Source organism: Homo sapiens, chromosome 9, assembly GCF_000001405.40.
Source record: "Homo sapiens chromosome 9, GRCh38.p14 Primary Assembly".
NCBI classification, from domain to species: Eukaryota; Metazoa; Chordata; class Mammalia; order Primates; family Hominidae; genus Homo; species Homo sapiens.
In genome coordinates, this window is record NC_000009.12 from 94804798 (window position 1) to 94827435 (window position 22638).

The window sequence follows — 22638 nt, forward strand, 5'->3', positions numbered from 1 at the left end:
GTATGCTATGAAGAAAATAAAATCAAGTAAGTGTCACAGTGGGAGAATCAATAGCATCGTTAGGGTGAGAGGGAAAAGCTTCCTTAAAGGGTGACATTTGGGCTAAGACTGAAGAATAAAAAGGAATCAGCTTTGTGACCATCTGGTGGAAAAGCACTCCGGTCCACAGGCCTCAAGGTGGGAACCACTCTCATGGGTTGGAGGAGTAGAATGAAGGCCAGGATGGTGGCAGGTCAGTGAGGTCTTAAAATGGCTTTCCTTAGCCCCGTTCTTAGTGAGCTTGGGTGCCAGGAGCAAGTGAGTCACTAAGAAATGGCAAGATTAAGTCAGGTCCATCATTCTAGGCAGACGGGTTATGGGAAGAGATCAAATTTTTTTTTTTTTTTCTTGGGACCGTAGATACCTATACCATCTCCCGACTGGCTAATGAGAACCTGATTGGCTTAGCAGCTGCTGTTCTTGAGCAGAATTCTCCATGGCTGAAGCTATCAGAACACCTGGCACCCAGACGGGCAACCGTCCCTTTGTAGAGAAGGGAGAAGTCTCAGATCACCACGTTTTCTTCCCCTGGCAGCTGTTGATTGATTCTTTGCAAGGGTTTTTGACATCGTTGGTCACAGAGAGGGAAGCTGTGTCTCATCCTAGTTTTATTTGCTCATCCTAGTTTGAAAGGTTTTTTGTTTTTTGTTTTTTGTTTTTTTTTTTAAAAAAAGCAACAACAACTGAATGAAAATAGGATTGACAATTAAAGACCATAGAAAAAATTATCAATTATTAAAATCTTCACAACATGCTTCACTATGAGGAAAAACTATAAAGCTCCCTATTACACAAGGCTTATTCTTAAAAGGTTTGATTGTGCAATAAAAGACTTCTGAATGTTTATACTAGTTCCTGACTATTGCATGCACAATTTTCTTAAGTACCTCAATTTGCAAATAAACGGTATGCACGTACATGCCCAAGAATGAATGTAACCAGCCTTTTCCTCCACTCCCTCCTCCCGGGTTAGACAGGGTGTTGTCCTGTTTATTCTTATCTCCCAGCCAATGTGTAATAGAATAAGCAAAACATAACATGCTGGTACAAAGGGCCTGTTGTTTTCAGCTTTCTAATTATGCTCCTTTCTGCTGGGGAAGGAAGCAGTCATAAATTTCTGTCATTATCTTAAGTAGCAAGGTTTCACAGCTTTGAGAATTTTTCTTTGTTTGTTCTTTGTTGGCTTTACTTGAATTTTTGATCCCTCAAACCAAAACCACCCTACTTTTAAACAATCCTTCTTTAGATTTCAGGGGATGTGACCCCCTGATTTCAAGGCAAGATGCAGCCATAGTGATTCTTTGCCTCAGGAATCAGATTTTGAGCCTTAAATTAGTATGCCTTTGAATTCACCATGGCTGCCAACTTCTCTACTTTCTCCGATGTGCTGCATATTTTTGTTTTGTGTGTGGGTTTTGTTTCTTGTTATTGTTGTCGTTTCTTTCTCAGATTTTAATAAATTCTCAATTTTCTTTCTGCATGGATTGTTTTTTAAAAAGATGTTGAATGGGCATTTCTTTCCCCTGTTGTGTGGTATAACTCTTCTCTGCTTTTTCAAACAGGTGGGTGTGAATGATAGAAAGCAGCTCATACCATCCTTTTTTTCTGTAAAATTTTAATCCCTTGTTTACTGGCAACCCTGCTGTTGCTGTAGAGATGAACAAACAGAATGAGTTGTGAGCTGTGAGGCACATGCAAGGTGATTTATGCCCATGTGTGCTTCCCCTTTGTTGCTTTCTTTGTGTTCACTTTCTCCATTTTCTCTTTTATTTCAATTATCCTTCTTGAGAAAATTATTTGACTTTATTTGCGTCCTATGTTATAGGTAGGGGCTTTCCCCTTCTAATGTGTTCTGGTTCTTTCATTTTTGTGTTCCTGAAATAGTAACTGGTATTCATAAAGTGATGTTCTTCTGGGACCCTGAAAGCCCTTGGCCAGGATTATTTTGTTCGTCTTGACAATACCACTTTGTACTAAGCAAGGTAGGTAGTGAGAATGTGTGTGTATGTTCCATTTTTTACAGAGCGGGTATTAAGAGGATATATAATGTCCCAAAGTCACTTAGAAGCAGGAAGTCAGGGAGACAAGTAAAATGGCCTCATCTTGTGATGGCTGTCAAGAGTCTGGTGGTCCAGACTTAGGCAAGGCTGATGTGTAACTGTTTCTAAGGCAGTGAGTGCTTGATTTAGGGTCTCCACACAGAAACCATACTGACCCTGTGAGTGAAGATATCATTGAAGATCAGCATTCACTGTGGGCTGGCTTTGAGGCAGCCATAGAATCTGGATACCAGGCAAATTCCTGGATCACATGAGTTCTTGGGGGCCAGGCTCTCTCTCTTCTGTTGGAGCAACAGGCAGAGTGAACTCACAGCTTTTGGGTTAACTAGAATCTTCTTTTTGCCATTAAACAGCTGTGTTGCTTGTCAGATCGAGAAGTAGCATCTTATCATCATTATACCATGATTCTTCACCCTCTGAAAGATTATGCTTAAGTGTTTGGTTTTCTTTGAACTGTTCTCCCCACACAAAGACTGACAGTCCTACCTTCAGAGAACACTGCTGGGGCCATCCTTCAAGAGAAATTGTCAGGCCTTTGAAAGGCCTTCCTGAAGCAATCATTCCTCTACCTGCGTTTGTAATCTCTCTATTGATGTCATCCTAGGTTCCTAATGTCTTCCAGTCCTTGAGCCTGAGACGGCCAGTCAGCACCACCTTGCCATTTTTTCCATTGCAAAGAAAAGGCTTTTTCCCCCGCCTTGCCACTTATTTCTTTACCGAAGCATCATTACTGAATAGAACATACACACTCCCTGGGTGAAAAAGAACAATGGAGTTCAGTGCACAAAGTTACCTAACTTGGGATATTCCCAATCTTGCAAGCTCTTTCTCCTTATACCACTACACAGAGTGAGCAAATACTACCAGCTTCTGTACTGCTGATGTATGCATGTGGTCATGGAGCTATGTAAGTATTTCTTTTAAGGGTAGATTTCTTTTAGGGAAAACACCAACTCTGGAAAGTCCTCAGGCAAAGTACAATGTGTGAACAGCTCTGCTGGAGGGAATATTGCCAAGATGCAGCTGGAGCCCACCTCTGCGCCATAGAGGCCTGTTTGCATAAAGTGGGTGAGAAATTGCCTTGTCTCTACATTTCACCCCTAATAAGTAATTGGAAGAGTGTCTCAGCCACCTTTTCTTTTTTCTTTCTTTTTTTTTTTTTTTGAGACGGAGTCTCACTCTGTTGCCCAGGCTGGAGTGCAGTGGTGCAATCTTGGCTCACTGCCACCTATGCCTCCCAGGTTTAGGCAGTTCTGCCTCAGCCTCCTGAGTAGCAGGGGCTACAGGTGCACGCTGCTTCGCCTGGCTAATTTTTTGTATTTTAATAGACACGGGGTTTCACCATGTTGCCCAGGCTGGTCACGAACTCCTGAGCTCAGGCAGTCCACCTGCCTCGGCCTCCTGAAGTGCTGGGATTACAGGCGTGAGCCACCGTGCCCAGCCTCAGCTTTTCTTTAAGAGAAGTTTAACATTATTATATTAAAATGCCACAGATGTGAGGGGGATGCCCCCTTCAAAAATGGATTACTTTTTTTTAAAAAAAATTGAATACCAAGTGGGAGTTGAGGTACATTGCACAAATCCGCCCTGATTTAACCCCAGAGTGGAGCTCAGAGTAGAACATGTTATATTTCTTGGTTAACTAACCATGCTATTTATAGAGGTGACTCCTCGGAAAGTCTAGACATTGTTCCCAGAAGACAGAATGCCAAATCTGCAGTCATTGAACAAACCAAATCTGCTCCTACCTTCCCAGCTAGCTTGCTAAGAATAATCACCTCCCTGTTTCTCACCATAAAATGGAAATCTTGGAACTTCATTCTAAGAAAGTGTGAATGATATTTGGGTTCCCCAGCCAAGACTTGGGGTAGGCAAGGAGGAGGAGGTGCTCCTGTGAGCCTGGTCCTACCCACCCTTGGCCTGTGCTCCTTGGAGCCCACCTTGCTAAGTTGTTGGAAACTGTGGTTGGCAGGTCCTAGTTTTTGAGTAGGTCTCCTCTAAAAGGACATCTTGAGGACCTAAGGATGGTGCTTTTCTTTGGGAATGAGCCAGCTGCAGTTTTTGCCTTTTTTCATAGATGTGCAATCTTAGAACATCCTATTGAAAGCGCAGTTGGAAAGGGGTGGATGGACAAAGCCAAGAACTCACTCGACAAACATGTATCAACGGACAGGTGTGATGAATGCTGATGATGCTGTGGCCATGAGGAAGTATAGACCTTTAGCCTAAATCTAAATTGGGAGTTTCTAAAGTTGGTTTCAAGGAAGACTAGTTTTATGGAATGTTAATAATGTGGGAAAAGGAACTGTAGGTTAATTAGTTTAGGAAATAAATGGATTAAATAAACTTAAAAGAGATTCTTTACTGGAGGGCTTCTAAGAAAGCCTTTAATATTCTTATGATCCTGATTTAATATCCTGGTATATCTGTGCATCTTGAAGACAGAGACAGGATAAGCAGTATTCCCCCAACTGTTGTGTCGAGGGAGCCCTTTTTACAGTGAGCATTTCATGGAACCACTGTGGTTTCAAAAAAACCACCTCCTCAAAACACACTTTGGGAGATGATTCTATTCAGAAATATCTGGGAGTCCATGATACAGCTGGAGATGGAATTCGCCTTTCATTCTGTCAGTGGTGAGTGAGGACCTGACCTGCATGCGTCAGGCCCTGGGCAAGGGCTTTGCTTTACAGCAGTGAGGAAGCACAGGTCCTGCCCTCTTGGGACTCACAGTTTGGTGCAGGAGGCCCCCATGCTTTTCTGTTTATAGACCTCTTTTTGAGCAATTACCCAATTCATATATCTATATTTATTTATTTATAAGTTATATGCATTTAGTACAATGTTAATATATTAGGTACACTATAAAACACATACACAAAATAGAAAATGTAAAAGGATGAGAAAAAAACAATTATGAAAGTAAATTCTGTCACTTTTATCCCAAAGAATTGGCACGTGCCCTGGGCTCCCTTCAGCTGCCTGGGCCCTACCCTGGAGACTGACTCAGTGAATTGAGCCGCAGTCTTGGTATCTGGAAGGCTAACAGGTCTTCCCAGCTGATTGTGCTGCAGGTGTTGGAGAGCAGTGTGTGTTGCCTGGGGACTGTGTGGACTGGTATCACCCAGACAGCTTGCACTGACTCCAGACCCTGCCGTCATGTCACAGGTAAGAAGGTCAGGAAGAGGCTGGAGCGTGCCGGTGAATGGGTGAGAAAGCTCCCTGGTGAGGCTTCCTGCTTTTCTGTTGCTCAGAAGGAGGCCGTGCTTCCTAGGAACTGCATCCAGTCACAGGCGGGGACTTTGGGCAAGTCACTGGGCCTCCCTGGCCTAATTTTCTTCTCTGGAAAAGTAAGGGGGTGATTTAGAATAACCCGCAGAATGTCTTAGGGCCCCTACATTTGATTTAATCAGGGTTTTTTTGTTTTTTTTTTTTTGAGACAGAGTCTCGCTCTGTCACCCAGGCTGTAGTGCAGTGGCGCAATCTCGGATCATTGCATACTCTACCTCCCAGGTTCAAGCGATTCTCCTGCCTCAGCCTCCCGAGTAGATGAGATTACAGGTGCGCGCCACCACACCTGGCTCGTTTTTGTATTTTTAATAGAGATGAGGTTTCACCATGTTGGCCAAGCTGGTCTTGAACTCCTCACCTCAAATGATCCACCCACCTCAGCCCCCCAAAGTGCTGGGATTACAGGCGTCAGCCACTGCGCCTGGCCTTTAATCAGGTTTTTTATTTCAACAAGGCATGGGGGTGATTCAGTTTCGTTCAGCAATTTAAAATACATGTATATTTTCTTTTTGATGTAAGAGCTAGTTAGATCATGAGGCTTGGATTTTCTTGGACTCTGTGGGCACCTAGGCAGTAGTAGGTGTTTAAATTTTAGGCCCCCAAGCAAAAGTTTCAGAAGGGGGCCTCTTTAACCCTTGTTAATTGCAAAATAAACAGATCTCAAGGGCAGGGGCCCCTTCTTTTCATAATAACTGCCTCTGTTTTGTGTGTCATCAGTGAAAAGCATCATTTTCAAATACTCCATCAGGAGTGGGTTCCATCACTGAAGGCCTTCTTCCTTCAGCCCATCAAAGGACCTCCTCCTTTGACCCCTCAGAGTCAGTGGCTAACCTGCCCCCTACCCCTGTCACATGTCTTTAGCTTCCAGATATCTCCATTTGCAAGCTAATAAGTTGCACATACATATGTTTGAACAGTTGTCAGGCTTGTCTGCTGCTCAAACTGTGTTTTAGTTTAAAACAACAACAACAGAGAACTCAGAGCGGGGGAATGGATGAAGACATTTCAGTTGTGCCTGCAGGTGGTGTTGTTTTGACCTTGACAGTCAGTTTTAAATGACTTGTCAAGTACCAATGTGTGCTTCTGGGCACACCCACCTGGAAGATATTATGTCCCCTAGGCTTTATATGCCCCAGCAGGCAGGCATGAGGTCCCTGGATTTTGTTTTCATTGATGGAAGGTTAATGCATGCATGGCAGAACTTTACTGAGAGGGGCGCAGCTACAAACCCTGTTTTCATTTAATTCTGATTTCTCTTCTCCCTTGGCCTTTCCCTCCCTGCCCCCAGACCTCTTCCGTCTGGGCTCTCTCCACTCCCCATCAGCAATCCCTTCTCTACCACAGCTGCCCCCCACCACCACTTTGGCTTCAAACCATTTATCCTGGCTTTGATATCTCCTTGCAGAGCTGTAAGCAACCAGGAGATGCTGGGTCCCAGAGCTCAGCAGGGTGCACTGCCTGGTAGGGGACTGGGCCCCAGTCTCCAGGCCACTGCAGGAAATTGCACCCAGAAAGCCTGCCCAGGCCCCTGTGCCTGTCCCGGTAACCACTCAGGTGCAGCCCCCAGAGGCGGCATCTCCTCAGCTTAAGTGTTGTCTGGGGAGAACTTCTTAGGATTATTCTAACCTTTCCGATGGTCCAGGTTCATCTCTCTGAATTTTACCTGTTTAAACTTGGAGTGTCTCCCGTACCCTCAAAGGCCACACATGCTTGTGCTGGCAAGTTGGGGTGAGGAGAATAAATGGACAGATGAAAGGAACCTATTGGATTCATCCTCCTGCCTACCAACACTTCGATAGTTTCAAGTTATTTGAGAGTACAATTGATGGTCCCTTATCCAGGGAACACTTCTTCTTCAGCTTCCTTGTCCAAGGAAGGAGACCTGTACTAATTAGATCATGAGGCTTGGATTTTCCTGTACTATGTTTCTAAAGGTAGAGATGAGGGAAAGGGTGCTTGTTCTTAGGACCACGTGCACATCTTCTCACTCTGTAATACTTCCTTAAACTTGGGAAGAAGTAGGCCCAGAGCTAGATATTTACTTCTCTAATGGGTAACACCACCAGCAATGTGCTCCACTGTTTGGTGGGCTTACGGGAACATATGAAGGAGAGGGTCCCTGCCTGGCCCCTTAGATATCTTGCTGAGATCTGACTTAGAATCTAAGAGGAAGACCAGTGCTTGCCAACCTGTCCTCCCCAGAATCCGGAAGTCTTCCCAAGGCCATAGAAGTGCATCACACTGTCTCGCTCCAAGGGACTCAAACCACTTTCTCTTTATACCCCCTGCCTGAGGGGCACCTCTGTAAGGGAATCTTATTACTTACCTTTGGCACACATCCTGCCCTGGGATTTCCCAGTTAGAATGCCAAGTAGAGGAGGCTGAGAAATGTGTGGTATGAGAATGACTGGACCATGTTTCCTATCACTGGGAGGAGCCTGGTGTCAGAGAATGTAGGAGAAGCAGAGTAAGGGAGAGAAATGGCATTCACTCTGTGCCCCTGCCCTTCCTATGGGTCTCTGAGCCTTCAAATAAGGACTTTATTTGGTCAAAGCTGGTTGAGTTGAGTTTCTGTTGTTTACACCCACAGCCCTGAATAATTTACAAAGGGACACTTCCCTTTTGGTTTTACAAGCAAAAGCATCAGTTAGACCTTAGGATTGGGAAGGGGAGTCAGTGGTGTAGACCTAAAAGGAAGAAGCTGAAGCACCAAATATAATTTAAAGCGTTTTATTGAGCCAAAGTGAGGATGGCTGCCTGGAAAACTCAGACCCAAGGAACCTTGGATATGAGCTCCATCCTGCCTTTGTTACAAGCAGGTTTTTAGAGGCAAAAAAAAAGGGGACAAGGAGTGGGCTGTACAAAGTGGTTTATTAGGAATTCTCGTGGGTTTTCGAAATAACATTGATTAGTGATTGGCTATACGTTGTTAAGCTATAGGGTGGGTTATAGAGTCTGCTGTGGCATTATTAGGTTGATTTATAGCTACTTCTGGCAGTAGCAAACAGTTACAAGAGATGAGTGCATAGCTCAAAGGGAGGGGTAAGATGTGATTGCTCCCTCATTTTAATGTCTCTCTGGACCTGATAATCTAAAATAACTCACTTTCTTCAGATTAAAGATCTTGGTTGCTTTGAGTAAACCTGACAGTGTCTGGTTTGATGAAGGTCCACCTCTGACCTTCAGATTCTTTGATGATGATACCACCTGACTTTATAGCTTTCGGGGTGTCCTCAGATATGTCTCCTCTCACAAACAAGCTCCAGGTCCTTCCACAGCCCTGCTATCACAGGCTTCCTGTAACTTCCTTCCAGACTAGCCCTGTCCTCCCCCTCACCAGCCTGTGCTAAGACCTGGAATCCTTGCTACTCAGAGAGACCTCTCTGCTCTGCCCCTCCCATGATTTTCCACCCACCAGGAAGGGCAAGCTGTGCTTTCTGGTTCCCTAAGGAGTTTCTCATGCAGGGTAATGAGTCCCAGCAGGTGCTGACAGTGGATCAGGGCCTGGGCTTCTATAGCTCTTGGCCTCTGAAGCACAGGGCAGGTGGATCCTAATGGTGAGTTGTTTGCTTGAGCTGAGCTGCAGAAATGGGTTGGAGCATGAGCAAGGGCAAGCCCCAGACAACCAAGAACATTTCATATTCTGCTCCCCATAGGATGCAATGTGAGATTGATACTCGAGGGACCTCCACCCTGGCTGTGTTCAGGCTCTTGACACCGCCACAAGAAGGAATTCAAGGACAAGTTGGAAGATAAAGTACACACTCAAGAAAAGGGAGTTTGGTGTACTAAAGAGAGAGAGTCATGCACAAGGGGGGCTGGGGTTTCTATCTCTATGGGTTTCTGAACCAAGGGGTGGAATATCTATGTTGAGCAGTGGGGTTATTGAAATTATGTAGCAAGGTAGTCTGTTGGTAAATCTTTCAAACTTGCAGTTTAATCCTGAATTGTTAATATAAGATTAATAGGTGTGGTTTATTACCACACAAACACCTCCAATTGGTTCCTGCTCTGGCCCTGTTGGGGCCTCATATGATGGCTTAATAATGAGCCCAAATCCTGCAAAATCTTGCTGTACTCAGGAAAGTTCTGAGTTGCTTCTTCATTTGTGGCAGTCCCACCTTTTAGACAGCCTCCTTTCACTCTGTGGAGAAGGTCTGGTTTCCTGGGCTTAGGATGTACCCCAGGTATTTAATTTTTGGTTTTAGAAATCTGGGCCTTGGATGGAGAGACCTGATACCCAAAGAGGGAGGTTAGGACTTTCCCAGGAGGTTAGGACTTGAATGGCATTCTTCTCTGAGTCCTCTTTAGTGGGACTGCATACAAGGATGTCATCCACATATTGGAGAATGACTCCCCATTTCTAGCTCTAGCTCCTTTTACTCTTGTGCCAAGGCATTTCTGAACAAGTGAGGGCCATCCCTGAAGCCCTGAGGCAGTACTGTCCAGGTGTGCTGCTGGGTAATATTAGTTCCAGGATTAGTCCTCTCAAGAGCAAACAAATACTGAGAGTCAGAATGCAAAGGGATACAAAAGAAAGCATCCTTAAGATCTAATACTGTGAACCAGTTGGTCTCCCGGTATTCGGGTAAGTATGGCATAAGGATTTTGCACTGTCGGACGTAAGGGAATTACAGCCTCATTAATGGCTCTCAAGTCTTGAACTAGACGGTACTCTGTTTGGTTTTTGGTTAGGAAGGACCAGGAGTATTACAAGGAGACTGACATGGAATCAGGAAGCCATGTTTTAAAAACTTGTCAATTAGAGGTTGGAGTCCTTGCTTGGCTTTTGGTTTGAGAGGATACTGACGCTTGTGTGGGAAATTATTTTTGTCTTTTAAAGAGGTGATCACTGGCTGAGCATAAATTGCTTTGCCAGGGCTTTCTTGGTCCCATATTTGTGGGTCTGAGACCTTATTTTGGGATGGATCTCCTGTCATTCCGAGGCTGGCTTAGGAAACAACACTGCCAAAAAGGAGGGCCCCCCACCCAGGGCCTGATAAATGTAAAGTGGCCTCAGGGGTGGCTAGGAAGTCCCATCCCAATGAAAGAGTAGAATACTGTGGCATAACTAGAGATTCATGAGTTACCATATAGTTTCCTAGCCTGCAGTTCAGAGGCACTGTAAAGTGTTTTGATTTTGGGGTGCCACTGACACCCATGACAGTGCAGCTTTTGGAAGATAAGGGCCCAGAGTGGCCATTTAGGACAGAGTAACTTGCCCCTGTGTCAATTAAGACATTGATATTCTTAGTTGCCATGTCAAGAGTCACCTGAGGCTCCTCAGTTATGATGACCAGGCCTTTTATGGGAGCCGCCGAGAACCTCGGGCCCCTTCAGGCCTCAGTTATGGCCATTATGGACTGGGTATCCTCCTATTCCTTTGGAGCTGAAGGCAATCCCTTTTCCAATGGCTCCCCTGCTTGCAGTGAGGACAGCATCTGGGTGGGCTCCCCTGGCTGCGACAGATCTTATCCCAATGTCCTGGCTTCCCACACTTGAAGCAGCAACCATTGCCTGCACGGTTGCTGTTAGGCCTTTTTGGTCCATGGGTGAAGCATCTCTCTGGATGACCCTGAGGTTGCAGGGTGCTGCTCATAGTAACTGCTATCATTTGGGCCTGCCATCTATCCCATTGTTTGCCACACTGGGTCCTTTCAGCCTTTTCAGCCCTGTCCCTATTACTGAATACCTGGAAAGCCTCATCAAGCTTTGGTTTAATAGGTATTTGGGGTCTCAAAGACAATTTCTGTAATTTTCTCCTGATGTTGGGTGCTGACTGGCTTATAAAGTGTGTCCCTAGTTAAATTTGGCCAGCATCAGTACTGAGGTGAGTGTTAATATATTTTCTTAGGGCCTTCACAAGGTGACCCTGGAACAAAGCTTGGTTTTCATCCTTTCCTTATTTCCCTTATTTTATCATAGTTCACAGCCTTAGTGTACATTTTTTATTCTCTCCACTAACCAAATTGCCATACAATTTCTTTTTCTTGGATTAGCCTGGCCTTGTAGATAGTTCCAGTTGGGGTCATTGTTAGGCACAGGCATGGCCCCCACAGTGTATAGTTCAGGGTCCCCAGCTAATAAGTTGTCAGCATAAGCCTTGGCCTCCACGCAGATACACTGCTTTTCCTCCAGGGTGCAACATGTGGACGAGGTAATATGAATAACTCACCAAGTTAACTCAGGTGAGAGTGAGAGAGCCTGAAATTCGTCCTGAATTTAGTTGGGTCCTCTAAAAATTGGCCCAACCTTTGGCTACATCATGCTAGATCAAACACTGAAAAAGGTACATGCACCTGGATGGTCCCAGCATCCCCATTGGCCACCTCCCTAAGTGAGCATAACTTAGAATGGTTAGGAAGGTAGGAAATGCCACTGTAGGTGACCCTGGCAGGGCTCTGTTCCTTCAGTAGGGAGGGCATATAGGTTGGTAAGGAGGTGGGCTAACGGGAGACTAAGGGCTGGAGATGGTGGAGCTAGAAGAAGACTGGGGAGTTGGAGGTGGAATTGGGTGGTAGGGAGGAGCAGGGAGTGCTAGACCTAGGTCTGGGTTAGGAGGTGGGGGAAGGCTATGAGAGGTATATTCCCAAAAAGGGTATCATCTAGGATATCTGGTTCCCATTTCGTTCTCCTAAAGGGATGTGAGTCTAACAAAGGCAGCAGTTCCTGCAACGGTCAAGGTTCTAACAGGGCCACGAAGGCCTGTGCACATGGTGTTTCAGTTCAATTCTCCTGACATTGATAAAAAAGATCTAATTGCAAAATGGTATTACAATTTAGGGTCATGTTCTCTTACCATTGTACTGCATTCTGTTTCCTTTTTTTTCCTTTTAGGATCTCACTTTTTTACCCAAGGCTGAAGTGCAGTGGCACGATCATGGCTCGCTGCAGCCTCATCCTCCCAGGCTGAGGTGATCCTCCTACCCCAGCCCCCTGAGTAAGCTGGGACTATAGGCGTGCACCACCATGCCTGGCTAATTTTCTGTGTGTTTTTTGTAGAGATGGGGTTTCGCCACGTTGTCCAGGCTGGTCGCGAACTCCTGGACTCAAGCAATCTGTGTGCCTTGGCCTCCCACAGTGCTAGGATTATAGGCGTGAACCACCACACCTGGCCCTTGTACCCTATGTTCTAAAAGAAAGGCCTTGACTTGTCTTTGGCATGAAATGAAGAAGAAGAGGAAAGTTAACATATTCCCTCATGGAGGGACTGGTCCCAGTATTTACGAAATGCTGCATGGACGAGTGTGGTGCTTACAATTGGCCAGCTCCATGGCCATGCCTGAGAGACAAGCATCCTTGTTCCCTTGGCTGGCTGCCTTAGTGTCCAGGTGTCCTTGGAGCCCTAGCATTGCCCAGGCATCCTTGGCTCCTGGGGCTTTGAAAATGAGAAGGCTTTTGAGGTCTAGTAGGACGAGTTATGGCATAATTTGAAAGCAGCAAGCATGCCAATATCCATCCGAATATTTATCCTCAAGTAAAAGTTGGGAACAGAAGTGATTTAGCATGGCCAATAAACCAAGGACCTTGAAGGGGCCCCTTAAGAACTTTAGGCCTAGATTTGGCATTCCGGAGGGCAGTATCTAAGATGCCTATCTTGCTGGGTCCAAAGAGTTCCCTAAGCTTTCATGTGAAGTATGAGGAAGAAGCATGAGAAGAGAAAATCTCAGGAGCTGAGTTTAAAGAAAATGGGAAAGAGAAAACAGTTCCCAGCCAGGGTCAGTGTTTTGGCACAGCTGGTCCCTTGGGAGAATGGAAGCCTCTTCCTGGGCAAAAGTCATCATGCTCCTTGGAAGCCATCCAGCCACTGCACAGTACAAGCTATAGGATGTTACCCTACCACCCTACCATGGTGCCTCAGACCTGCCACCTCTGCTTGTCGCCCAAGATGATGGAGAGAGAGCTCTGCTTTGCAGTCAGTGCTCTATCCCCAGCTCTGCCGTTGACTGCTGTGTCCTGTTACTCCCTGGTAAGGTGCCATAGACCACTCATCTCCAGAACTCTTGTGGATAAGATTATGTGTAGATGCCGTTACATCTTAGGTCCTCAGCAGATACTGGTTCCTTGCTTCAGTAGGCTTAGGAAAATTTGGTAGTTTTATGGGTCAATAAACACATAAGTTTTGTGGCTTATTAGTGTGAATCACAGATTCTACAGTTCCTATCAACCCAATGTCTAAAATAATTCTCTAAAATAATAGCTCCAGGGAGAAAATAAAAATAGGTATGGTGACTTAGCATGGTAGTATGACAATATGAAAGGTTTGTTACAGAGTTGTTGGTCCACATTCCTTACATTGTACACATTGGAATTTCTCCGTTTCAGAAGGAGCATTTAGAGCAGCACCTACATTTTTGTTAGGTTTTCCTTCAAGGCTGTAGCTTGAACTTTTAATATACATACTCACTTTTCTTCCCCCCAAAAAGAAGGGTAAAGAAGGCAGTAAAGGTAAAGAAACCAGACATTATTTGATTCAGCTCAAAATGTATTTTTTAGTTCCTTTTCCACATTTAATAACAAATAAAGGCCGGGCGCGGTGGCTCACGCCTGTAATCCCAGCACTTTGGGAGGCTGAGGTGGGCGGATCACGAGGTCAGGAGATCGAGACCATCCTGGCTAACACAGTGAAACCCTGTCTGTACTAAAAATACAAAAAATTAGCCGGGCATGGTGGCGGGCACCTGTAGCCCCAGCCACTCGGGACGCTGAGGCAGGAGAATGGCATGAACCCAGGAGGCCGGGCTTCCAGTGAGCCGAGATCATGCCACTGCACTCCAGCCTGGGCGACAGAGTGAGACTCCGTCTCAAAAAACAAAAGCAAACAAACAAAAAAAATAAAAAGAAATCTTGTACCTGATCTTCAGGGATTTGGGATCCCACCTGGATTAAACTAGACTATCCAAGCCCTATTTGCCTGGCTTCCAGCCCTCCTGGAGTTCTGTTCCCACCAGTTAGACAAAGCTCTCTGTCCTTGACCTCTTTTCCCATCACTTTTGGATCAGAGATTGAGCCTGTCAGCTCCTGAAACAGCTGTCTCTGATCTGTTCTCAGTATTATCTGAGCCATTATCTGACTTGTGTCTGAAAGGACTGCGTGATGGAAACTTCTGAAAGAACCCTCTGTCACCCCACCCGCATCTTCCAAATAGAGCCAGAGAGGCCCAGAGTCAGAAGGCTAAGAAGACCAAGTGTGTGGCCAGCAGCTGCGGGGAGCCAGGGCAACTCCTGCCCGCCACTCTTCCTCTGAATGCCTAGCCCTCTCCGCCTGTGTTCACAGGCCAGCCCTCCCCGGGGCATACACAGCATTTTGTAAATAGTAACTGTGTGTCTTGGTTGAGATAATCTTGTAGGCCAGAATGGAATGTCTCAAGACACTTTGCAAACGGGATTTTATTGTTTAGTTTTAGGGATAGGATCTCACTCTGTCACCCAGGCTGGAGTGCAATGGCACGATCTGGGCTCATTGCAGCTTTCACCTCCCAGGCTCAATCAGTCCTCCTCAGCCTCCTGCGTAGCTGGGACTACAGGCATGTGCCACCATGCCTGGCTAAATTTTTTTTTTTTTTCATAGAGACGGGGTCTGACTACGTTGCCTAGGCTAGTCTTAAACTCTGAGGCTCAAGCAATCCTCCCGCCTTGGCCTTCTGAAGTGCTGGGATTACAGGAATGAGCCACTGTGCTCAGCCCAAAAGGGATTTTAATTTTGCAAAAGGACCAACCTTAAAAGAGCTTTGAATAATAAGTTTCTTTAGTGCAATTCTTTTTTTTTTTTTTTTTGAGATGGAGTCTCGCTTTGTCACCCAGGCTGGAGCACAGTGGCGCAATCTCGGCTCACTGCAACCTCTGTCTCCCGGGTTTAAGTCATTCTCCTGCCTCACCCTCCTGAATAGCTGGGATTACAGGTGCCCACCACCACGCCCAGCTGATTTTTGTATTTCTAGTAGAGATGGGGTTTTGCCATGTTGGCCAAGTTTGTCTCAAACTCCTGACCTCAGGTGATCTGCCTGCCTTGGCCTCCCAAAGTGCTGGGATTACAGGTGTGAGCCACCGCGCCTGGCCAGTGCAATTCTTTTATGTTTTTGTTCCCCACCTCTGTTCCGATTTTCCATTCCTTAGGTATAGTACTTTATGAGCTTTTTGTATTAACCCCCTGTGTTCCTTCATGCAGATGCAGGCCAATTAGACGATACATATTATTACTCTCTCTCCCTTTTCTTAAAAGGAGATAGAACACACACCCTATTTTACACTGTGCTTTTGTCAATTATCATTATCCCCTAGATATAATATTAGGCCTTAAAGAGTTTCTCATTCTTTTTTATTTAGCTGCATAGTATTCTAGTCTATGGATGCTCTCAGTTATACTTTTCCAAAATATGGATCTTTGACTTTTTCCAAAATTTTACTGTTGTAAACAATGCTGTGTTGAGCACCTGGTATATTTAAATAGTCAGTGAATCACAAAGATTTCATTAACATACCTGCCATATTGTGGGAGGTAGGGATGTGCCTGCATCTTATTTATCCTTCACTAGTGCTTGGTAACTGTAGGTGGAACCACATGCAATTTCTGTTTGGGGAAATCTTAAAAGCAGTAGAATATCAGCACTTTTGCGTAGCTCACTGATATTTAGAGAAACCTACATGCCATAGCAGGGATGGAGATAAGAAAAAGAAGTCTCTCGCCCCCAACCTAATGTGTCTTGGTGAAGATCTTGCTTATTTAGGTCTAAGACCTTGTTTAATAAACCAAGTGGAAGCCGTAATGACTCCTTTTCAGCAATTTTATAACGATGTAGTTCTTCAGGTTTCACTAATTTTAACAATTCTATAAAGTTATGTTCATCCTATTTTCACTAACTTTGGAAGTTTAAAGAGAAACTCTGTTGAAAAAGTAAATCCACATACCAAGTGTTTTTAAATAGCATGGAGAAATGCAATTTATTTTTCTGGTTAAGAGAAGTAAGTATTATTTATGCTTTTTTGGGCTTTTGGGTTTATTTATTTAGGTGGTGCCTTGGCGTTGAGTGAATGACATTAGCTGGTGTGGGGACCTGCAGCAGGGCTTTCAGGATAGAGCGTTCACCCCACAGTTTCAGTGGTGAGCAGGCAAGAGGTTGCCCAGATCCTGGCCCAAAAGACCAACCACCAGTCTTACAAACTAAAGGGAAATCATATTTTACCACAATGAGAAAAAATGAAGGGGAAGGCTAATGCTGTATTTTTTGTTAAAATGGAAGGATGTTGAGAAGACAGAGACTTTCAGTGGTTTTAATCTTCAGACTTTGGCAGAGGCCAAGCATGATTTGAATACAGAGAAAGTGGAGTGACATGACAGAAAGGGAAGTGGAAAGTGGTGGCTTCCAGAAACAACCAGATGTGTTTGAATTTCCAGGCTCCTCAAGGAAGAGTGAGTTGAGCTGGAGCTGAGTTGCTGAAACCTTTTTTAAAGACTCAGTTGAACATCCGTATGCCCCTGACATGTAATTCTAGAGCATACCACCCAAAACTCAATTTTAAATAGTAGGCAGAGCCTATGCTGCTACCCTGTTATGGTTTCATGTTGGCCTAACTAATCTATTTTTTCTTTTTGGTGGTAACATCAATGGGAGGCAAGCAATAGATGTGATTTATCTCAGCCTTAGTAAGGCATGACAATAAGAACAAATTCAGAAAATGTTCTTTACCAGCATGGCAAGTTTTTTTTTGTATTTCTAAAAGGCAACCATTTTAGTGGATACAAAATTAACATAAGCCATAGATCTGTGCACCCTGTGTGTGTAAACACACACACACACACACACACACACACACACACACACACACGCAGGCATTCAGCCTACTGACCCCGCTCGTGGCTGTGTGCTATAGACACACAGAAATACAGTGATCCCCAGGCTGGTTTGGCAGGGCACTCATTACATAGAGGGAACAGACAAAGAGAACCATCATAGAAGGGCTGAGAGGCCCAGAGAACATGGCAGACGAGCTGCTGGTCATTTGTGTCACACACTCTAGCCCCTTTGCAGGGCCCTTTGACCCCTTTAAGGATGTGTTGATCTTGTTAGAAGCTGAAACAGCAGCAGGAGGGTCATTTTGTTGTGCTTTCAAATGAATGCCTGATCAGCTGTGAAATAGACTTGTGCTTGTCTAGTCTCTAAGACCAAGGGAAATGACTTTTCCTAAAAAGAAAAGTTTAAGGAAGTTTTTTGTTTGTTTTGTTTTTTATGGCTAAGCTTTGCTGTTTTTGCTTTAACAAAACACCTCCCTGCACAGCCTAATTCCAACAGCAGAGTATCTGATTACCTCATGCTGAATAATGCACTGTTGTTTATTTGCTTTGCTACCTTCCAGATTTTTCTTTTCTGGGCTAGATAATCCCAACAGCTTTGAGTTCCGTTTTTATAACTTCTATTTTCCTATTCTTTAGTCATCTCAGTTGCTTTCTGCTGGAGCATTTTCTGATTCTCTTCATTGCTCGGAAATTAAGAAGTCTGAAACCAGACACAACAAGCTGGAAAGATGTCTCCATAGCTGATGATAGGAACTGTTTATCGAGCTCTGAACTCTGTGCCTCGTGTTGCGCTGAGTACATGTCATGTATCATCCCATTTAAGACTTGCATCCTCTATGGAATAGATTCCATTTGGGCATTTTGTAGATGAGGAAACTGAGAAAAGAGTAATTCTGTATCTCGCCCGTCTCCTAAGTGATAGTGCCGAAATTCTACCCAGTTCCCTGCCTGTGGAGCCTGCAGTCTGAACCATTATCCCTGGTGCCACAATTTCACTCACCTGTCCCCTAATCTTTTTTTTTTTTTCTTTTGTGAGATGGAGTTTCGCTCTTGTTGCCCAGGCTGGAGTGCAATGGCGCAATCTCGGCTCATCGCAACTTCCGCCTCTTGGGTTCAAGTGATTCTCCTGCCTTAGCCTCCTGAGTAGCTGGGATTACAGGCATGTGCCACCACACCCAGCTAATTTTGTATTTTTAGTAGGGACGGGGTTTCTCCGTGTTGGTCAGTCTGGTCTTCAACTCCTGACCTCAGGTGATCTGCCCACCTCAGCCTCCCAAAGTGCTGGGATTACAGGCGTGAGCCACCGTGCCTGGCTTATATGAAATGCTAACAGCTGTACTGGGCAGTTGACTCGCTTTCTATTTAAAGGTCAGTATACCTCTCTACCTTTTACTCCTTTATTAACACATGGTTAGTCATGCCTTCCTTCAGACTAGTCTGCATGTCCTTCTGGAAATTCATTTTGTTGAACCACTTTTCCAGATTCTTTGAATCTCACTGAATTCTAATTTGGTCCTTCTAGAGCATGTTCACCTCCTGTAGCTTGATTCTCTGGAGCATCTAATGAAGTCTCTTAACTGGCAAGCCTCCTGGGGGCTTTTAGGTGTCCACTGCCCTTTGTGATGTCATCCTTCACACTTACCTTGGCTCTTCCCCGGGTTCCCACACCAGGCTGAGTGGAAGGAGGTGTAGATTGAGCAAGCTGTCTGGGAGCGTGAATTTTTAGGTAGTAGCTATCTTTTCAAATTTGGAGAATTCGTCAGAGTTTTACAATAGCCTCAGAAGTAGGGAAATCTCACTTAGATTTTGTTTCAAGTCCACAGTTATCGGGTGCTCATTGCTATCACTGAGAACCCTAGGCATTGCCAAGCTATCACTTTGTGGAAGCCATGCCTTTGGAGTGAAAACACCATCTATGAAAGATAGTCACGTGACGTTGAATTGTATCACACCCAGCTTACTATGCAGTCCCTGGCATGGAAGTGACCCTTTGCTACTATTTATTAAATGAGAGAAAGAAGGGATATAGAAATAGGAATCGCAGTGGTGATTAAAGTTATTTTGCTTTTTGCTGAAGACCTCTAGTGTGATTTCCCCAATGTACACCAATTTAACCAGAGGAGGGTACAACAGGAATCACCGTGACAGTTATCCTCCAAATTAAAATGAAAGTCAAAAATCTCTCACAACACGTTTTTTAGGAACAACAACAGTCAGTGTTCCAAAATCTCCTTAAGCCCCCAAAAAGAGGATTTCAAGAGCCTTTAGTCTTTAGTTTTGCTTCTCTCTAGTTCTTGCTTCTTCTGTAACATCATGGCCCCTGCCTCTTTGGATACTCTAAGATGTCAAATCGACTGAGGATGACTCCTGAGGACCCTTTGAGATGATTACCATCGTTGTAGGTATAGCTTGATGTATTCTTGTGTTTATGAATGCAGAGGTGTTTAGAAACACTACTGGGAATATTCTCTAACTTTCAGGTGGAACCAGAAAAGAGAAAATTTCTGTTCTTCTGATCATTTGTCAAATTCAGCTCGAAACAGGATCTTGAGTACAGAACATTTTTCCTGGTTGCTGCATAGCTCAGTTAATCTGTATATCATGGGAGTGTGTTATTGAGAGCATTTGCAGAAGGGTGGAACCAGGAGCTCATGGCTCAAGCAGGAAAATGTTTCATTATTTGCAGAGCAAGAGAATGAAACTCCTGAGACCTGAATTTCAGGGCTCCTTGAAATGATGGATGCATTCTTTTAACTTGGTGGAGAAAAAGAACATAATAAATTCGAGAAAATAACCATTCTTTTACACTTCTTTTTTCTCATTCAGTTTTGCTCTTTACTTTTTGTAATACCACTCTCAAGTCTCTAAAATACAACTGCTTCCCATTTGGTGAGTGTTTTTTTTTTTTTTTCCATTTGACAACAGCATTTTCCTGTGTTTTTAATGGCACCAAAATTAACATGGCTGTTTCAATTTAACAGAAACAACTTCAAGTTTTATATTACACGCCCTACCAAAGAATCTTTGATTTTTGCCCTGGCGTTTCCCAAGATGTTAGCATGGCTTTGAAAACAGGGCTGTTTAACTGCTGCTGCAGAAGAGATGGCCAGGGGAGCACAGCAGATTGGGGAGGGAGGAGGGAGAGAATGGAGGAGAGGAGGGAAATTGGCCTCCCCCAAGTTACTATTTTTAAAGTTTGCTTGCCTACTGAATAGCTCAATTTACAAATCCTACTGGATATGGTTTTGTGCTTCCCCGTTTTTGTTTCCTGTTGAAAGTGTGATGGATGCCTTGGTGGAAGACCAGCCCCGCATCCTGCTGTTTTGCCTGTGCCTCTTTACTTACGAAGGCTGGGCCCTTCTCTCCCCTTGAGAGGGGAGACCCACGTTGTCGAAGGCATCTCCAGGGAGATAGCCAGTCCCGGAATTTCTTAGGAGGTGGGACCTCAAATCCCAATTAGAAACACTCCAGGAAACATACATCTTTATTTGTTAAACAAGTAGTGTTGTGTGAGCCTTGGTGAAGACGCTCAGTCGTTTTAAATAAGTGAAGTAAACATTCCCTTCCAGGGGAGCGCCCTCCCTAGGCGCTGTCACTTTGAAGCTCAGTTTTAAGGTTTTCAGTTGGAACATGCAGTGTTCTTTTTTCCTTGGCTTGGGTTCTAGAGAATGTTGTTTCCTCATTTGGTAATTGGAGAGTTAATAGGGTTCTTTGTGATGCTACCGTGGAAGAGAGACTGTTTTATTCCATTCAGGGACTATAATTACAGGGCGCCCATCGGCATGGTTAAAGTTAAGGTTGTTTCAGCTTTTCCAATGTAAACTCATATTTCAGGGGTTTATAACTAGCTATAAAAATTTGCTTCTAGCTACAGACCTGGCATATTCAGTGTCAGCCTAGGAATAACCTTTACGTTTTAAAAAGTATTTTTAAAAGGATAATTAAAAAATTCTGTTTAGCTGTTTATAACTGTTGTTACAAGGATTCAAGGAAATAAAAATAGCTTTTTCTTTTTTTAGCAAAAACCTGTGACCCATATTTTTTTAATGTGGACAAAGTTATTAGATTTTTTTTTTTATGTCTTCAAAGGAAAATACGGTGAAATCTGTGTCAAAGCTATTTTAAAAGGGTATTGTTTCAGTTTTCCTTGTGGCAGCGGGCAGGGCACCAGAACATGCCCTCCTTGTTCTCCGAAGACATGAGCCTCCCATAGGACTGCTGGCAAAGCTGTTTCGTCCGCGGGCTTCAAGTTCATTGTGACAGAACTCCTGGCCAAGGAGTGCACAGCAGCCTCTTGGCAGATGGAAGAAACATGACCAACCATCGTGAGGCCATGGCCACTCTCCTCTTCCCCGCAGCCCTGTCCCTCTGGCCCTACATGTTGGGACACAGTGAGCAGCACAGGTACAGAGCTATAATAGAGACCCACTGGGGGGACCACAGAGCCTCTTCGTTCCCTTTTCCTGATCCACATGGTGGGGAAGGGGAGGAGGGAGTTTGCCTCTCTAGGAATCTCTCTTCAGCTCGGTGGCATTTGTTGCAGTAAGTAGCTTTAGGTGGGTCTGTTTTTGTACATGCTGACAGATGGGTGTGACACATTGCACAGGTGATTCAAAAGTTCTCCAATAAAACTTTCTTTAAAACTTCATGCTAGACAGATTTACCTTTAGCAATTCTTTTTCTAGCAGCTAGGGTCTTGATTGATGTCATGTGATAATAATGATGGTGGTGGTGGTGGTGGTTGTAATGTGGGGAAGGAGAAGAGGTATTGGTCATGGTGATGGAGCTGATGATATTAGTGGAGGTGGTGATGGCCACAAGGGTAGTGGTGGCAGTACAGTGGAAGTGGGGGAGGTGACAGTGGTGATGAGTGGTCATGGCAACAGTTGGGGCTATAGATTTCTGCCTGCCTGCCTGAGCTGTTTGCACAAGTCATTGTTCATCTTTGCAGAAAGCAGCAGCTTAGGGAATCTGCCATTGTCCCTTCCCTCTACATAACATGCCCCAGTGGAACTTGCAACTGGCTTTTGGTAGATCTTGTCTACCAATGCATGATAAAATTTGGTTTGTGGAAGAGATGGATACATGCCCCCTTTTCAGAAGCTGGTCTCCATTTTAGAGCCAGAGAACAGCTTCTCTTCTTTTCTGTGGCTTCTCGTTTAGGAGCAAAGAACACGGTGAGCTGGAGCTCTGGAACCCCAGAGTCATTAGTAGAGAGATGGTGGTATTTCTACCAAAATTGAAGTGCTTAACCACATTCTAGGAACCATGCCCTGTGATTTACACATATTAAATCAGTAAATCTTTTTAACAACTCTGTAAAGTAAGTTTTTATCTTGACTTTACAGATGAGGAAAGTGAGGCTTGGGTCATAGGATTTGAAAATCTTGGTCTTTGAGCCTCAAACCCTTTACATTTTCGTCCACTGAAGCCACCAGATAGTTTCTTAGAACAT

General features: G+C 44.5%; 1 protein-coding gene and 1 non-coding gene across 53 annotated transcripts in view, besides 2 other annotated features; both read left to right on the plus strand.

Moving 5' to 3' along the window:
- AOPEP (aminopeptidase O (putative)) overlaps window positions 1–22638 on the plus strand; it is a 423526-nt gene that overhangs the window by 78099 nt on the left and 322789 nt on the right. Inside the window, exon 6 of one of the 52 annotated variants that reach the window (XM_011519134.4) lies at window positions 1924–21829. The exons of the other annotated variants lie outside the window; for them this stretch is intronic. Coding sequence (XP_011517436.1) covers window positions 1924–1939 — 16 coding nt within the window. The 3' untranslated portion in view covers window positions 1940–21829. Of the gene's footprint in view, window positions 1–1923; window positions 21830–22638 lie in introns of those variants that run through there. 52 annotated transcript variants of the gene reach the window in all.
- On the plus strand, window positions 5165–5260 carry MIR2278 (microRNA 2278). The gene has a single exon (NR_031755.1). It is a non-coding gene; the product is annotated as a microRNA 2278 (primary transcript).
- Window positions 16497–16626: an enhancer, noted in NCBI's record as "active region_28635". NCBI's record gives its function as "activates an Ori minimal core promoter by ATAC-STARR-seq in GM12878 lymphoblastoid cells {active_cell/tissue: GM12878}" and the evidence as "EXISTENCE:reporter gene assay evidence [ECO:0000049][PMID:35858748]".
- Window positions 20382–21055: an enhancer, noted in NCBI's record as "OCT4-NANOG hESC enhancer chr9:97587461-97588134 (GRCh37/hg19 assembly coordinates)". NCBI's record gives its function as "activates a minimal SCP1, AML or CMV promoter by ChIP-STARR-seq in primed H9 embryonic stem cells {active_cell/tissue: H9 hESC(primed)}" and the evidence as "EXISTENCE:reporter gene assay evidence [ECO:0000049][PMID:30033119]".